The 17,728-nt window shown below is 42.0% G+C and overlaps 1 protein-coding gene across 29 annotated transcripts in view, besides 3 other annotated features; it reads left to right on the plus strand.

Annotated features, from left to right (window-relative positions):
- SYNE2 (spectrin repeat containing nuclear envelope protein 2) overlaps window positions 1–17,728 on the plus strand; it is a 464,854-nt gene that overhangs the window by 105,368 nt on the left and 341,758 nt on the right. The window lies entirely within an intron of this gene.
- Window positions 1,022–1,071: an enhancer, noted in NCBI's record as "active region_8520". NCBI's record gives its function as "activates an Ori minimal core promoter by ATAC-STARR-seq in GM12878 lymphoblastoid cells {active_cell/tissue: GM12878}" and the evidence as "EXISTENCE:reporter gene assay evidence [ECO:0000049][PMID:35858748]".
- Window positions 1,192–1,241: an enhancer, noted in NCBI's record as "active region_8521". NCBI's record gives its function as "activates an Ori minimal core promoter by ATAC-STARR-seq in GM12878 lymphoblastoid cells {active_cell/tissue: GM12878}" and the evidence as "EXISTENCE:reporter gene assay evidence [ECO:0000049][PMID:35858748]".
- Window positions 14,737–14,906: an enhancer, noted in NCBI's record as "experimental_35084 CRE fragment used in MPRA reporter constructs". NCBI's record gives its function as "activates a minimal promoter by MPRAs in K562 erythroleukemia cells, with activity observed for the non-introgressed 14:64348503 variant allele {active_cell/tissue: K562}" and the evidence as "EXISTENCE:reporter gene assay evidence [ECO:0000049][PMID:34662402]".

Below are 17,728 nucleotides of genomic sequence, written 5' to 3' on the forward strand. Positions count from 1 at the left end.
AAAGAAAAAATTGTTAATATTTATTTAGTACTCAATTGGTGCCAGACACTTTACATGCACCATCTCTTTGATCCTATGTTATAAGCCTATAACACAGAAACCATCTACCTCATTTAAGGAAACAGAGAGGTTAAATAACTTGTCCAAACCATACAGCAAGTTACTGGCAAGACTGGCTTGAACACAAGTCTGTTGGGCTCCAAAGCCCATGTCCTTAAACAGTACCATGAGAGAACTCTTAATGGACAAGATATATCCAGTCTACTCATTTACCCCATGATTCTGTACAGAAACTTAGCACAGCACATTTATATGAGCATTCAACATATGAAGTAGTTAACAGATTAATATAGTTACCAAACTAAAATTGGCCTATGTTAATTTCTATTCTCAGTTCTTCTGTGCCCTTCCTCCTCTTAAAAAAAAAAAAAAAAAGAGAGAGAGAGAGAAAGGGCCAGGTGTGGTGGCTCACGCCTGTAATCCCAGCACTTTGGGAGGCCGAGGCAGCTGGATCACCTGAGGTCAGGAATTCGACACCAGCCCGGCCAACAAGGCTAAACCTTGTCTCTACTAAAAATACAAAAATTAGCCAGGTGTGGTGGCACATACCTGTAGTCCCAGCTACTGAGGAGGCTGAGGCAGGAGAATCGCTTGAACCCAGGAGGTGAAGGTTGCAGTAAGCCGAGGTCACACCACTGCACTCCAGCCTGGATGACAGAGCGAGACTCTGTCTCAAAAAAAGAATAAAAAGAATAAAAAGAATGAAAGAATGAAAGAAAGAGAGAGAAAGAAAGCAAGCCAGCCAGCCAGCCAGCCAGCCAAGGTGGTTCATGCCTATAATCCCAGCCCTTTGGGAGGTTGTGGCAGGAGGATCACTTAAATCTGGGAGTTCAAAACCCACCTGGACAATATAGCAAGACCCCAACTCTTGAAAAAAAATTGCTTTAATTAGCTAGACGTGGTGGCATGAACCTGTGTTGGGAGACTAAGGTGGGAAGATCGCTCGAGCCCAGGAGTTTGAGGCTGCAGTAAGCTATAATCATGCCACTGCACTCTAGCATGGACTACAGAGTAAGACTGTCTAAAAAAAGAAAAAAAAGAAAAAGAAGCTTTTTGCCCACTGTTGCAGTTAACTGGCAAACTTGTGTAATAAATTAACTAACAGAACTGGTTTAGCAACAAATGAGATGCACAAGGTCTTTAAATTATAACCCTAGGTATGTTGGTGATTTGAAAGGTGACCTAACAGCATTTAAAGTAAGTTATATTTTATATTTATGGGGCTTTCAAAACCACAGTCAAAAATAAGAACCCAAGCCTGAGTAACATGGCAAAACCCCATCTGTACAGAAAACACAAAAATTAGCCAGGCGTGGTGGTGCACACCTGTAGTCCCAGCTGCTAAGGAAGCTGATGTGAGAGGATTGTTTCAGCTCAGGAGGCAGAAGGTACAGTGAGCCGAGATCATGCCACTGCACTCGAGCCTGGACAGCAGAGTGAGACCCTGCCTTAAAAAAAAAAAAAAGGAAGAACCCATATTGATGAAATCTTAGTAATAAACCCTGATATCAAATACCTAGGTGAAAAGGAAAAAGGTCAAATTCTAGCTACTTTGCCTAATTATTCCCAAGGTCCCAGGTGTCAGAAACATTTAAATAAGATAAACATAAAATTGTCCATAGCAATTATCTCTAGGAAGAGAGACTGCAAGAATGGAAAATGAAAGTAATATGGGGAAGGGCTTTTGCCTATGTGTGCATGTGTGCGTGTGTGTGTATGTGTGTGTGCTGGGGTTTTTGTAATAACAAAAATTCCTTAAAAGGCATTCAAAGTCTGATCAGACTTAATTTTTATCTGCATCCATGAGCTTGGCATAAGGATTACACATTTCATTATCTAATAAAGGGGACACCATTAAGGAAAAGAGCAACATTCTCTCTGCCCCTTTGGCCTCTCCAATTGAACTAAAACAAGACTTATTAAGTTTTTACCCACTCCAAAACAAATGTTTCCATTTCATCAGAAGCAAGAGAGAAAAATCTTAAAGGACATTAACCTTCAAGCAGCTCCGAAGGGAAAGGAATATTAGAACTTGAGAAATAAAATGGAGAATGAAACTCCCTTGACACTCTTCAGGTAACAAGGAGAACCACACAGTTAAAGAGCTATTCCCTCCTCATAGTGAAACCCTGAGGTGGAAACTGATGAAAAGTGTCCCAGAGAGCAGCCTGCTCGCTGCCTCTGGTACTCACTCATTTATCCATTCTTCTGAGCTTAAAGAGAAAAGATAAAAATGAGAAGTGCTTTAAAATTAAAGTTGATGTTTAAATATCACGTCTCTTCTGAGCCCCTACTTTTTCATCTTAAAAATACTATTTCCAGCCAGGCATGGTGGCTCATGTCTGTAATCCCAGCACTTTGGGAGGCCGAGGTGGATCTCCTGAAGTCAGGAGTTTGAGACCAGCCTGGTCAACATGGTGAAACCCCATCTCTACTAAAAATACAAAAATTAGCCGGGCGTGGTGGCGGGCACCTGTAATCCCAGCTACTCGGGAGGCTGAGGCAGGAGAATCGCTTGAAACGGAGGTGGTGGGGGAAGGGGGCAGAGGTTGCAGTGAGCTGAGATCGCGCCACTGCACTTGAGCCTGGGCAACAAGAGCGAAACTTTGTCTCAAAAAAAAAAAAAAAAAAAAAAACTGCTCCCAATAAATAATTTGCAAAGGTGCTTAGCATAAAACCTGAGACACAGTGGGTACACAATAAAATGTTAGCTTCCTTCTTTCAGAACTGAATTTCCAACTGCCGGATAGATCTCGCACTAATCTTTGAGTTCACAAGACCCATTAGCCCACCCCATTGCTGGAATATCCAATTTATCCCATACCTTCTCCTCCTGTATTTTCTCTCTCTCAAGTAATAGCATGAACATTGTCTTTGGCACCTAGTTTCGAATTGTCTGTCTTCTATCTCCTTTTAATCCCCTCTGACTCTGTTCTCCAAATGTCTTCATCACTCACCTGAATTTCTGAAACATCCTTGTAATTGGACTCCTGCCTCTCTAATACATCTTTCAAAACATTATTGCGAAACACAGCTCACACCAAACACCTGCTTTGGTTCCCCATTGGCCATGAGAATATAGTCTGAACACTTGTGTGTGAAAAACCCTCCAAAATATAACCACAAATCATCTATCCAGCCTTCTCTCCCACCACACCCTGCCATTAACCCTGTGCTTTTCTTCAGCCCACAATCTACTCTCCTCCACTCTCCACCCATAAAAGCCCTACTCATCATTCTAGGCCTGGCAATACACCCTCAGCTCAAATGGCAAATGCTTTACAAAATTAGCCCTAACTTCCCCAAAGTTGGCATCACTTGCTTTATGCACCCACAGCACCTTGCTTGTACTTCAGTTGGCACTTCTTCCATTCTAGATAATACTACAGTGACTTGTTTACAAGGCCATCTCCCCCAGTTCCTGAAGAATTAGGGCTCATATATGATTCATTTCTGACTGTCCCCTAAACACCTGATACCTAGCCCCTTGTGTACTGCACCCTTGAACTGAATGTAATAACTAGCATTTGTTACCATGTGTTCTATAGGTACTATGCTTTCTGTTACCTGTATTATCTCAGTAATATAAGTACGTGGGATTTTAGTTTCACTTTTACAGATGAGGAAACTCTACTCAGAGAGGTTAAGTAATTTGCCCAAAATAACACCTCTAGTATATGGCAAAGCTAGAATTTGAACCAGGGGTCAGACTGATTTCAGAACCCAAGCTTTTAACCACTACACTATACCACAGACATTTCTAAAATTCACTTGTTCCTTTAGAATGTATGCACACGGAGTATTACTCAAGATCAACACCCCAGGAAATCATATTTAACCCTATCAGCACATGGAGGTCCTTTTGGTTCTGCTCTAGTCCAGGGGCATAAACAGGCAGACTCATGATATCCCAGATTCATTTATTTTCCAGCTGTTTTTTTCTCATCTACTGTCATTTTACTTTTTTAAATTTAAATTTAAATTTTTAATTTTACTTTTTTGTCTTTAACCAGTTAGAATGCTAAGATTTGATGGTTAAATAAGACCAAGTATCAAATATTTAGTACGAACTCTCCATTTATCAATGCGGTTGCACAGAAATGGATGGTTCTTTGGAGGCAGAGTTAAAGAGTAATACAAACTCAAGAAGGACAGAAAGGAACTAATTTTGGGGAGATTTGAATTTTTTTTTTTTTTTTGAGACAGAGTTTCACTTTTGTTGCCCAGGCTGGAGTGCAATGGCTGGATCTCAGCTCACTGCAACCTCTGCCTCCTGGGTTCAAGCGATTCTCCTGCCTCAGCCTCCTGAGTAGCTGGGATTACAAGCATGGGCTGCCATGCCCGGCTAATTTTTTTGTATTTTTAGTAGAGACGGGGTTTCTCCATGTTGGTCAGGCTGGTCTCGAACTCCCAACCTCAGATGATCCGCCTGCCTCAGCCTCCCAAAGTGCTGGGATTACAGGCATGAGCCACCGTGCCTGGCGAGATTTGAATTTTTTAAAAAAATTCCACTAGAACAAGTATTTCCTTAACATTCTAGTATGAAAACCATTATCTAAAGTGGTTTTAAAAGAGATGTCATTTTTTTTTTTTTTAATCTTTCAGAGACAGGGTCTCACTGTGAGAACCCCAGCTAACTTTTATGTTTTTTGTAGAGATGGGGTTTCGCCATGTTGCCCAGGCTGGTCTCAAACTCCTGAGCTTAAGCTGCCTGCCTGCCTCAGCCTCCCAAAGTGTTAGGATTACAGGTGTGAGCCACTGCACCTGGCCAACTTAAATTATATCTATATATAGATATTGTTTAAAAATTACATAATATTTAGGACCTATGAAAAGGTATAAATGATTATACAGTAAGTATATACCTGCTTTAGCATCCTAGTTCAGAAATAAAATATTGCTAATTTGGTTGTGACCTCTTCCTCCTCCCCAGAGGAAGCTGCTGTACTGAATTTGGTATTTATCATGCTTATGTGTTGCTTAACAATTTTGTTGCATATGAATGTTAAGGTTGATTTTCAAAGTATTTGACAGCTGGTAGTGTGTGGGCCCGGCCGTGTCAAGTTGTACCAGCCTAATATTAGTCCTATCATGGATCCCTGGGAGATACTTTAAGATTCTATCCAGCTTGGTGCGGTGGCTCATGCCCGTAATCCAAGCACTTTGGGAGGCTGAGGCGGATGGATCTTGAGGTCAGGAGTTCGAGACCATCTTGGCTAACATGGTGAAACCCTGTCTCTACTAAAAATAAAAAAAATTAGCCAGGCATGGTGGCACACGCCTGTAATCCGAGCCACTTGGGAGGCTGAGGCAGGAGAATCACTTGAACCTGGGAGGTGGAGGTTGCAGTGAGCCAAGATGGTTTGTCACTGCACTCCACACCCTGGTGACAAAGCGAGACACCATCTCAAAAAAAAAAAAGACAAGAAAAATCCAACAAGAGTCTAATTGGCTGGGCATGGTGGCTCACACCTATAATCCCAGCACTTTGGGAGGCCGAGGCGAGTGGATCACCTGAGGTCAGGAGTTTGAGACCAGCCTGGCCAATATGGTGAAATCCCATCTCTACTAAAAATACAAAAATTAGCCGCACGTGGTGGTGGTGACGGGTGCCTGTAATCCCGGTTACTTGGGAATCTGAGGCAGGAGAATCGCTTGAAACCGGGAGGCAGAGGCTGCAGTGGCCTAAGATCACACCACTGTACTCCAGCCTGGGCAACAGAGTGAGACTCTGCCTCAAAAAAAAAAAAAAAAAAAAGATGATATGTAATTAATATTACAGTTTTACTGTATGTTGCACATTCTTCTGCAAGTTGCTATCTTTCCTCTCAACTGTGAGATTCATCCGTCTTGGTATATATGTAACTCTGATTCATTGATTTTCATTGTTTAATATTCCATTGTATTAGTATGTCTCAGTTTATCCATTCACTTATTGGTTGATATTTAGTTTTTTATGTCTCCTTCTAGGACCCACCTGTTCACGTCTTTTGCTTATTTTCCTGTTGGGTTGTTTGTCTTTTTCGTTTTGATTTGTAGGTGTATTGTTTTTGTAGTTTTCTGGAAACAGTTACTCATTAACATGCACATAAACCACATAATGACAGCTTTGCCTTTCCGATATTATTGGAGCTACATATAGCTACTCATATTTGAAAATGGGTATACTCTAATCAGACTGATGTGAAGTACATAAGTAGAATTGTCTGAGTGTTAATATGCCAGTGACTGTAGATATAAACATATTTCTTTATTTAGAATGGATATGACTTACTTTTTTTTTTGATAAAGATTAATTTCCCCATATTTCCATAGTCATGCAGGTGAAGGTGTGGACTCTACAGTACTCTAAAGTGTGAGTACTTACCTTTTTTGTTTTTTGTTTTTTTTTAGATGGAGTCTAGCTCTGTTGCCCAGGCTGGAGTATAATGGCACGATCTCGGCTCACTGTAACCTCCGCCTCCCGGGTTCAAGCGATTCTTTTGCCTCAGCCTCCCAAGTAGCTGGGAGTACAGGCGCCCAACACCACGCCTAGCCAATTTTTGTATTATAGAGATGGGGTTTCACTGTGTTAACCAGAATGGTCTTGATCTCCTGACCTCGTGATCCACCTGCCTCGGCCTCCCAAAGTGCTGGGATTACAGGCGTGAGCCACTGCACCCGGCCAAGTACTTACCTTTGTAAGAAATCATAAGATTCTCATTTTTTTCTCCATTAACTACATAAAGCAGGACAATGGTTGGCACCATTGCTTCCTCACTGAACTGTGGATGGGTCTCAGCATGCAAAGGAAGTAGAAAGTGAATGGGAGGACGGCGGCTGTTGCTCAGAAGTTCCTTCCATAATTTGATTTATTAACACTATTTGGGTTGTTCATGGCTTGGTTTTCCCTCCCTTTTTCCTCCAGTGAACGGTGACTTGACAGAGGTACATAGGAGGCTACTTGTTCTCTTGTTGGCTGCTTGTATTTGCTTTCTGGAAGGTTATTGTTTTCAAGGATCTTAAGCACCTGGATTAGGACAGTTAAAAACCATTTGTTAGCTTGGAAAATGTCATCTTCCTCTTTATCCTGCTGTCCTGGCTGTGTGCTTCCTTCTCTCCCTTCCTGTATCTCTCTTCCTTACAGATTGCTTGCATTACGTATCTATGAGATGTCCGTCTGTCAGAGTGTTTAACGTGTTGTTCATTGTAGTTCTTTAAAACCTTCTTATAGTTGCACAAAAAGACGTAAACATTTAAAAATACTTTTGGTACTGGAGGTTGCCTTTTCCTGGAGCATTGCATCTGATTTCCTTGTTATTTGTAGACTAAATCCTACTGAACGCTGTGGCTCTCCCTGCCTGCCCTCTGCTCCACTGTCTCTGCTTCTCACCTCCTGGCTCTGCAGGCCTCTTTTGTTGTTGGGAGCTAACAAAGTACCATAATTTGCTAGATGTCGCAGGAAGATGACAGGCCAAGGGGTTCCAGGAAGGATATCTATGTAACCTGCCTGAGCTCTCTTATCTTTAAAATTGCCACTAACTAGCCTTGTCTCTCTTGGGAATAGCCAGAACTTTAGAGTTAAGAATGTTGTTCAAAAGAAAGATGTTTATTTTTAGAGGCAGAAAATATTTTGAGCCTATTTGCCATAACTGCTTTTTTTTAAGAAACAAAAACTAATGGACTTTACAAGTGGGTAACCTCAAAGGGAAAACAAAAATCTTGCAAGAAGATTTAGCAATGTTTAAAAGTTTGGAAAACAAGCTTCATTAAGTAACTTTTTATGTTTGCTTAGTCAAAATTAATATTACTATAATTATTCTGAAATTCTCTTTTTCCTTGCATTTCTTGCCAAATAACCTGATTTAATGACATAGAAAATAAAAAATGTCAAAGGGGAAAAGTATTTAAAGACATTTTGTTGTTGGTACAAAGGGTGTGGTGTTATCACTAGGAGACAAGCAGAGTTCTCAGAGATGGTGTCATCTAAATTAATTTTATCTTCTTCATGATCACATGGATAAAAAAATTCAAACCTCTGATTTTTTTTTTTTAAATGGGGTGTTGCTATGTTGTCCAGGCTGGAGTGCAGTGGCTACTCACAGGTGTGATCATGGTGCACTAAGCTTTAAACCATTGGGCTCAAGTGATCCTCCTGCCTCAGCCTCCCAAGTATCTGGGACTACAGGTGTGCATCACTTTGCCAAACTTTCAAGTCTTTGATTTTTAAGGAATCCTGATTTTATTTTAGCAGGATAATTTTTACTTTATGAGGCCCAGTTTCATGTAATAATGCAGCATGTGATATAGATAAAAATCAAAGACCAGAGCTAACAGAATGGCCCTTCCTTCTCATAGCATCTTTATGAACAGTTGTGAGTAAAGGTGATTCCCAAAACCCTTTACAGATACTAAGTTCTATTTAAAGATTCACAATAACAATGACAACATTTTAGGGCTCTCTTCCAACACCATCACTTCCTCCTTCTCCTGGGAAGTTAAGCTTGGGGTGGAGGAGGTGCAGTGGTATTCCTGGACTAGCACGCCCATGCTGTTGCCTGCGTTTGTGGAAACAGAGACCTTTATGGGACACTGAGCAAGGGGATTGGTGATGTAGAAATATGTTGTTGGAGACTAACAGAATAGAAAAAAAAAATGAAGTGAGTAACACTTGTCAACCTCAGCCAGTCATGGGGGGAAATACCTTCACATATTAAACAATAACAAATAAAATGTTTGAAATGCCGATATTTATAGTAAATTGCTTTTTCTGTCTTTTGGCACGAATCTTAAGAGGTACATTTGAGGGACAACAGTGTATGGGCCGAAGGGAGGCGTCACTGCCCAGGTGGAAGAGCCTGCTCTTGCCCTCTGCAGTTCTTCAAGGTTCCCAGACCGGTGACTTGATGCGAGAAACCCCAGGGCAGAAGGGAGACTGGCCAAAGTGCATGTTGCAAGGGGTGCATCTTAAAGACCCCTCTGATTGACTTGGCTGTACTCTAGGGAGGTCTGTGGACCAGGATCACCCCAGCGATTCCAGTTTAAACTATGATGGACCTGTTTTATGAAGGTACAGGTATGAGTTTGGTGACTATGGATTGAGCTAGTTGTTTAAAACTTATTTAATCGGCTGGACGTGGTGGCTCACACTTGTAATCCTAGCACTTTGGAAGGCTGAGATGGGAGGATTGCTTGAGCCAAGGGGTTTGAGACCAGCCTGGGCAACACAGCGAGACTCTATCTCTACAAAAAAAAAAAAAAAAAGTTAGCGGGGTGTGTTGGCACACGCCTGTAATTCCAGCTACTTGGGAGGCTGAGGTGGAGCCAGAAGTTCAAGGCTGTAGTAAGCTATGATCATACTGCTAAACTCCAGCCTGGGTGACAGAGCAAGACCCTGTCTCAAAAAACAAACAAAATCTTATTTAATTGCAGTAGTGGATACCATTATATTTTTTTTAATTAAAAAAAACAAGCAACAAGCAAATATGTTCCTTTTTTTTTTTGAGACCGAGTCTCGCTCTGTTGCCCAGGCTGGAGTGCAGTGGCGTGATTTCCGCTCACTGCAAGCTCCGCCTCCCAGGTTCATGCCATTCTCCTGCCTCAGGCTCCCGAGTAGCTGGGACTACAGGCGCCCACCACCACGCCCGGCTAATTTTTGTGTTTTTAGTAGAGACGGGGTTTCACCGTGTTAGCCAGGATGGTCTCGATCTCCTGACCTTGTGATCCGCCCACCTCAGCCTCCCAAAGTGCTGGGATTACAGGCATGAGCCACTGCGCCTGGCCCCCAAATATGTTTCTTTTAACTGCATTGCTAATCGTATCAAATAAACCGAGAGAATACAGTGAGTTGTTCAGAGCCTCCCAGTGAGTCAGGGAACAAATAAGACAGATCAGAAACCACTGTCCGTGGATACTCAGCCTGTTACTTAGTCCAACAGACCTGTTATTGAGGATTAACATCCACTCAGAGCCAGAAATAGACCAATTGAGACTAAATCAGTTTTGATTGTTGGTCTCTAAGGATGAAAGGATGAGGGATACATTAATTTGCTGGGCAATTGATTTTCCCTTGGGATAAGAGAGAAACAAGACCAAAATTGTCAGTCATCAAAAATGGCACAGCCACTTTCGTTAATAAATTATGTTTGGGTTTGGAAAACTTCCAGCCCTATAAATAGATTATGGGAAGCCTTCAGGGAGAGACAAAAAGGTGCACCATGACTGCTTTCATATAAAAAAAATAGCAGGCCCATTGAACTTGGAGAAAAAAATGAGAGGCCTATAACCTAGAACTTTGGTCAAAATAGGAACTATGATTCATAGCTAAAACTTTACTTTCTAAGTTTGTTACCACTCACTTCCAAGTTTAGGAGGAATAGGTCAAAAGTTTGGCAGGAGGATTTTTGGGAACAATTTGTACCAACAGGAGATTTCTGAGCAGTTCCATTTTTCCTGCTGAGAGGTGGTTAATTTGGTTACTTACATTCTCATATTTTGCCGTAGTAGAGATTAAGAAAACCACTGGAGTGGAAATGAGAACCATCTCTACATTTTAATACTGTGATTGAAATAGAATTATGGAATGCTTCTGAAGATCTACACTGTTGTAAAGTGACACCATTCTGATTTTCTGGGCTTCTCATAGGAATGTTGAAAGTCAGCAAGTGGAGCTTGATATTTAACAGTGGAGTTGGGGATCAAAGCGGCGTTATCTTTCATGAGTAGATGTGTTCCCTATGTGTGTGTTCTTTGCTTTCTTAATCTCTGTGTCTGTGTCTTTTTTCCTGTGTTTCCCTGACAGTTCTACTTTATGACTGTCTATAAGGTGTGGCGTTCTGTATTTTATAGCCAAGGTCATTTGCATTAGCTACACTTTTTTTTTTTTAAGTTAAAACTTTTTTTTGAGACAGGGTCTCATTCTGTTGCCCAGGCTGGAGTGCAGTAGTATCATCATGGCTCATTGCAGCCTTGACCTCCTGGGCTCAAGTGATCCTCCCACCTTAGCCTCCCTTGAGTAGCTGGGACTACAGGTGTGTGCCACCACACCTGGTTAATTTTTTTCTTGGTAGAGATGAGGTCTTACTGTGTTACCCAGGCTGGTCTTGAACTCCTGGCCTTAAGTGATCCACCTGCCTTGGCCTCCCAAAGTGCTAGGATTACAGGCTTGAGCCATCACACCCAGCCTAACATGGTGTTCTTTGGATGGTGAGTGGGTGGGTGAATAAGAAATGGCACCTGTGGCAACGTGATCGTGATCTCCACCCTGTGGGACTGGCATGTCTAGATCTCCCTGGCCTGTACTTGGTACACCCACACAACCCAATAAAGCCTGTAGCCCTGGTAAGAGGCTTTCCTGTGGAGGCAGTGAACACCTTTACAGGGAGCTGGGGAGGATTGGTTGATTGTCTAGAGAAGTCGGTTAATATCTCATATTTGGGGCCACACAAGAATCAAGACAATCATTTGCTGACAGGCATTCTCCCTAGATTCTGGTCATTTTGTTTCTGCTGCTGAAGCCCCCTTTTATTTTTTTCTTTATTTTTATTTTTATTTTTTGTTTGAGACAGAGTCTCACTCTTACCCAGGCTGGAGTGCAGTGGTGCGATCTCAACTCACTGCAGCTTTCACCTCCCAGGTTGAAGCAATTCTCCTGCCTCAGCCTCCTGAGTAGCTGGGATTACAGGCATCTGCCATCAGGCCTGGCTAAATTTTGTATTTTTAGTAGAGATGAGGTTTCATCATGTTGGTTAGCCTGGTCTCGAACTCTCCTGATCTCAGGTGATCCACCCACCTTGGCCTCCCAAAGTGTTGGAATTACAGGTGTGAGCCACTGCGCTCGGCTTGAAGCCCGTTTTAAAAGTAGTGATCAAAAAAGAAAAAAATCTAGGCATAACTCTTAAATATCTGTCTGAAGCCATTAAATGATACAGTTTGGACAGGTGTGGTGGCTCATGCCTTGATCCCAGTGCTTTGCGAGGCTGAGGTGGGAGGCTTGCTTGAGGCCAAGACCAGACTGGGCAACATAGCAAGACCCTGTCTTTACCAAAAAAAGCTCAGTTGGGTGTGCTGGTATGTGCTAAGGAGTTTACAGGAGCACAAACTGCCTCATAAGCCAAGAAGACTGTAATGGGAGAAACTGAAGAACCATACCATGACCTACCCCAACCTTGAGTTGGGCTAATTTATCTCAATAACAAAAGGCATTGAAAAGTCTCCTTTTGTGCAAGTTTTATCAGAAGATTGATTTAAAAATCTTTTTTTGTTTTTGTAGAGAATGACTCCTCTAGCAAGGCAGGAAAAGAAGACTTGACCCTCTGAAAATTAACCTCTGTGTATTCTTCAGTAGAATCAGCCCCAGTGAACTTGAACTGTGGGTAGACTAAGGACTCAGGCAGAGATCCAGGAGGCCATGAATCCTTGGGAGAAGCAGTCGGAGCCCACAAAGGGTCTCCATCCCTTGAATTCTGACCGTTACCATAAATAGTGTGTAGCTGTTCATTTCTTCCAGGAAAGGCCCAGGTGGCTGGTGTATCCTATGAAGGAAGCTGGGAGGGTGGGAAAGCCGATCTGGCTGACTGTTAATTGTGCACAGATAGGAAAGAGAGAGTGGTAATATGTAACTTTAGTAAGGAACAAAGGGGCTTCCAAAAGTTCACTTGCCCCAGCCTGAGACAAAGGAGGAAAAGTAAATCTATTCAGATAAATAAGCAACAGAGGACAAAAGTATTTTTGCGTTTTCCCTTTGGTATCCACAGATAGCATATTTTACAAATACCGCAAGATTAAATTCTTCAATTAGTCTGAAAAAGCACACAAGAGCATTCAACAAATGAGCCAAGGTTATAGTGGGGATACTTGGGTTTATAGCACCAACCAGCAAAGGATATCGCAGTTGCGTAGAAATTAAATCTCTAAAGTTAGGTTTAGTCTTTTCATTAACCACAAGTCACATTCTTAAGAAAACATTTTCTTCTCTGGTTATGTTTTATTTTATGAATGAGAACTTTATAAATTTTATTTTATTTATTTTCTTATTTCACTTGATAGAAGGGTTGACATTAAGTGGTTTTATTTTATTTTATTTTATTCATTTATTTAATTTTTTTGAGACAGGATCTTACTCTGTTGCCCAGACTGGAGTGCAGTAGCACGATCTTGGCTCACTGCAACCTCCGCTTCCTAGGCTCAGGTGAGTCTCCTGCCTCAGCCTCCCAAGTAGCTGCGATTACACGTGTGTGCTGCTACCACCTGGCTAATGTTTGTATTTTTAGTAGAGACAGGGTTTCGCCATGTTGGCCAGGGTGGTCTTGAACTCCTGACCTCAAATGATCCACTCACCTCGGCCTCCCAAAGTGCTGGGATTACAGGCGTGAGCCACCATGCCTGGCTGAAGTAGTTTTAAAAAAATATGTGTGGGTTACATATTTTTCATTTAGAAGATGAGGTAGCAATAATGCTGTAAGACTTTGAATAAGAATTCTATGTTAAGAAAAAAAGAATTCTATGTTATATCAACTACCACAACTATTTTTATTTTTATTTTTGTACTTTATCTTTTAATGCTTGTTTATATGCATATATATTTATATGGTTACATTCCTATTGAATATCAACATCGGATTCTGTTGATCTTAGTATTTTCTTATTTAATATTTTCTATTGTCTTTAATTTTTTTTTTTTTTTTTTTAAGACAGGGTCTCACTCTGGTGCCCAGGCTGGAGTACAGTGGTGTAATCATGGCTCCCTGCAGCCTTGGCTTCCTGGTCTTAAGCAGTCCTCTAGGCTAAGCTTCCCAAGTAGTTGGGACTACAGGCATGTGCCACTGTGACTGGCTAATTTAAAAAAAATTTTTTTTTTTTTTGAGACGGAGTCTTGCTCTGTCGCCCAGGCTGGAGTGCAGTGGTGCGATGTCGGCTCACTGCAACCTCTCTCTCCCGAGTTCAAGCAATTTGTTGTGCCTCAGCCTCTCGAGTAGCTGGGATTACAGGAATGTACCACCACATCCGGCTAATTTTTTTGTATTTTGGGTAGAGATAGGGTTTCACCATATTGGCCAGGCTGGTCTCGAACCCCTGACCTTGTGATCTGCCCGCCTCGGCCTCCCAAAGTGCTGGGATTACAGGTGTGAGCCACTGTGCCCGGCAATTTTTTTTTTTGTAGAGACAGGTTTTCTGTGTGTTGGCTAGGCTGGTCCTGAACTCCTGGGCTCAAGCAGTCTGCCCGCCTTGGCTTCCCAGAATGTTGGGTTTGTAGGTGTGAGCCACCATACCCAGCCAAAGGAAACTTTTATGTTTTTGAATTACCTATGAAGCTATTACCAGGATGATTGTTTGTCTTCAGTTACTTTGTGGAATATTGCTATAGAATAAAAATTTGGGCCAGGCACAGTGGCTTACGGCTGTAATCCCAGCACTTTGGGAGGATCGTTTGAAGACAGGAGTTTGAGACCAGCCTAGGCAGCATAGTGAGACCCTGTCTCTACAATAAATAAACAAAACAAAACAATCTGATCTTTTGAGTTAGAGTTATAATACAGATTAATTTGTGTGTCATATATTTTTATATATACTTATATATTTATGGAAAATTTTATGTTTATATAAATATATAATTATAATTATATATATATTTCTAAAGAATTAGAAAAAAAACCCAAATTAATTTCTCCCTTAGTTAATTAATCTGCCACATCAGGAATCTGTTGCTTCATTTCATGCGGATGTCAGTGGATAAGATGTTGCTTATTCAACACCACTCGAAGAAACACAAGCTTTGCATAGCCTTAGTACTATGGCATTGCAGAAACCGTTAGAACAATGGCACTATTACTGATGTTTGTTATTGGAACCTGTAACATATTTCTGATTGACCAGCCAGATAGACTATTGAATTATGGAGACTGTTAGCCTTATGGGAATTTTATTACTCTTTAGAATAGTGTTTGAAAGGAAGAGTTTAAAATCCAAGCATTTCACTGAGGAGAGATAATAAGGCCTACAACCCTGCTGCAGTTTCCAGTTTATTGGTCGTGCTTTGTGTGAATTATTTGAGCCTTCTAGCAAGCTCTGTGATGCAGGTGGAGCCGTAGATCCTTGTGTAATAGCAGAGGAAGTGGAAAGTGGAAGCTCAGCCGCCTGCTTGTGGTCATGGTATGGGAACACGGAAAGGGGGATGAGAAGCAGTCAGCTCTTTCCATCCTGACAAATGTCAACTTGAATAATGTCATCATTAGGATGAATTGGTGAGCAGCTAAAATTCCATTTATGGTTTTAATTAGAGATGAGTATAGTAATTGATATTAATAATGGTGTTAAGTCGCCAAAGAAAACTTAAAACATATTCCATATGTTGTATTTATCAGGTCAAGGAATTTCTATCACTCTTGATTAAAAACAAGTAGTAATGTTACTGAATGAGTAACATGTGGAGGCCGGGTGAGCGGTGGCTCACACCAGTAATCCCAGCACTTTGAGAGGCCAAGGTGAAAGGATCACTTCAGTCCAGGAGTTCGAGACCAGCATGGATAACATAGGGAGAACTCATCTCTACACAAAGTAAAAAAAAAAAAAAAATTAGCTGGGTGTGGTGTCACACGCCTGTGGTCCCAGCTACTTGGGAGGCTGAGGTGGGAGGATTGGTTGCGTCTGGGATATGATGGTGCCACTGCACTCCAGTGTGTGTGACAGAGTGGGCCCCTATCTCAGAAAAACAAACAAACAAACAAAAACAAAAAAACAGTTACTTGTGGAAAGGTTACTTATCTTGATCATCCCATTTTGGTATTATATGAAATAGAGGTTGAGACTTTGGACTCAGGATGGAGCTCAGAGACACAGTGGCTGAGCCACTTAGGATAAAGCACTTCACTTCCATGAGCCTTGGTTTCATCTATAAATTGTTGATATGGTTATTATCCATGTCAGAGAAGTTTTATGAGGATTAAATGACATAATGTATATAAATGCTTAGTGCATAGTAAGCACTCTGTTTTTTTTTTTTTTAATGAATTAGGTGGTATTTATTGGCAAATATGCTTCAGTTCTTTCTTTTACATTTTATTTATTTATTTTTTTGAGATGGAACCTTGCTCTGTCGCCCAGGCTGGAGTGCAGTAGCATGATCTCAGCTGTCTGCAACCTCTGCCTCCCAGGTTCAAGTGATTCTCCTACCTCAGCCTCCTGAGTAGCTGGGACTACAGGCACATGCCACCACGCTTGGCTAATTTTTGTATTTTTAGTAGAGACGTGGTTTTGCCATGTTGACCAGGCTGGTCTTGAACTCCTGATGTCAAGTGATCCACCTGCCTTGGCCTCCCAAAGTGCTAGGATTACAGGCGTGACCCACGATGCTCGGCCTATTTATTCATTTATTAAAGTCAGGGTCTCGCTCTGTTACCCAGGCTAGAGTGCAGTGGTACAATCATGGCTCACTGCAGCCTTGATCACCAGGCTCAGATGATCCTACCTCAGCCTCCCAGGGATCTGGGACTACGTGCACCTCCACGCCTGGCTAACTTTTTTTGGTATTTTTTTTGTAGAGATGGGGTTTTGTTATGTTGTCCAGGCTGGTCTTGAACTCCTGGGCTCAAGCAATCCTCCCACCTTGGCCTCCCAAAGTGCTGAGATTACAGGCGTGCGCCACTGCGCCTGGCCTTTATTGTACTGTTGATGTGAGGAAATGCCTGTAAATCAAGGCTAAAAATACAAGAAAAATTACATTGGATGATAAGTTCCCTCCTCTACAGGGCTATTTTGAATTTGAATTTGGGAAAAATTGTTCCAGACACAAGCTTGAAGTTTTCTGAACTAAAATATAAATGTAGCCTTGGTTATATTGCTTATAATACAGAAGCTGGTGAATTTTTTTTTTTTTTTTTTTGCATGGGTGTGAGGGGAGTTGGGGAAGTGTGAACTCCTTTTGAAAGGAAAAAATATATTGTGCCCTCAGGAAGAAATTTTTTTTGTTCAGAGTCATTGGGTGGTGATGGGTGACCCAGGGAGAGCTGAGAAGCGGGCCCTTGGTGTGGCCCAGGAGATGAAGGAAAGCCGCTCAGGGCGAAGCTTAGAGAGGAGCCACAGCCTGGATGTCAGGGCCAGAGGGGCGCCCTAAGCTTCTTTTCCCTCCTGGAGTATCGAGGGTAAGTAAAATGGAGAAAGCAGGCCCTGTGGTAGACCACAGTGGAGAAGGTGGAATTTCTAGACTTAGCAGGCCAGCGCTGCTACAGAAGCCTTCCGGGGGCACTTGGAGCAGTTTCACTGGCATGACCTGAGTGCTGTAGGAAAGGCTTTTCTTCTGAAGACAGAAAAACTAAGAAAAGAGTAAAGGTAGGAGTTACTCGTTGAGAGTGCTTAATGATTCTATCCGTCCATCTGTCCAGTAACTCCTTGCACGTCTGCTTGGTACCTACTTTGCATCAGACTTGATGTTTGGAACTGGATACAAAGAAGAAAGCGGTACTGTAAGGAGCTTAGGTTGCAGTAAGGTGTCAGACATGGAGATGTGTCTGAGACAAGTGTGGTAGATACACTGAGATTGTGGCACGGGGTGTGTAGTGGGCACCAAGGCCAATCACCTCACTCTCCCTGGGTCAGTTGGAGTTGTCCACGTGGATGGAATAGGTGAGAGAGTGTGTGCAAAGACGGGAAGGTGAGAGAGAACCTGGGGCCTTAAGGAGAGCTTCGATTCTTT

The sequence above is a fragment of the Homo sapiens genome, chromosome 14 (genome assembly GCF_000001405.40).
Source record: "Homo sapiens chromosome 14, GRCh38.p14 Primary Assembly".
NCBI lineage: Eukaryota > Metazoa > Chordata > Mammalia > Primates > Hominidae > Homo > Homo sapiens.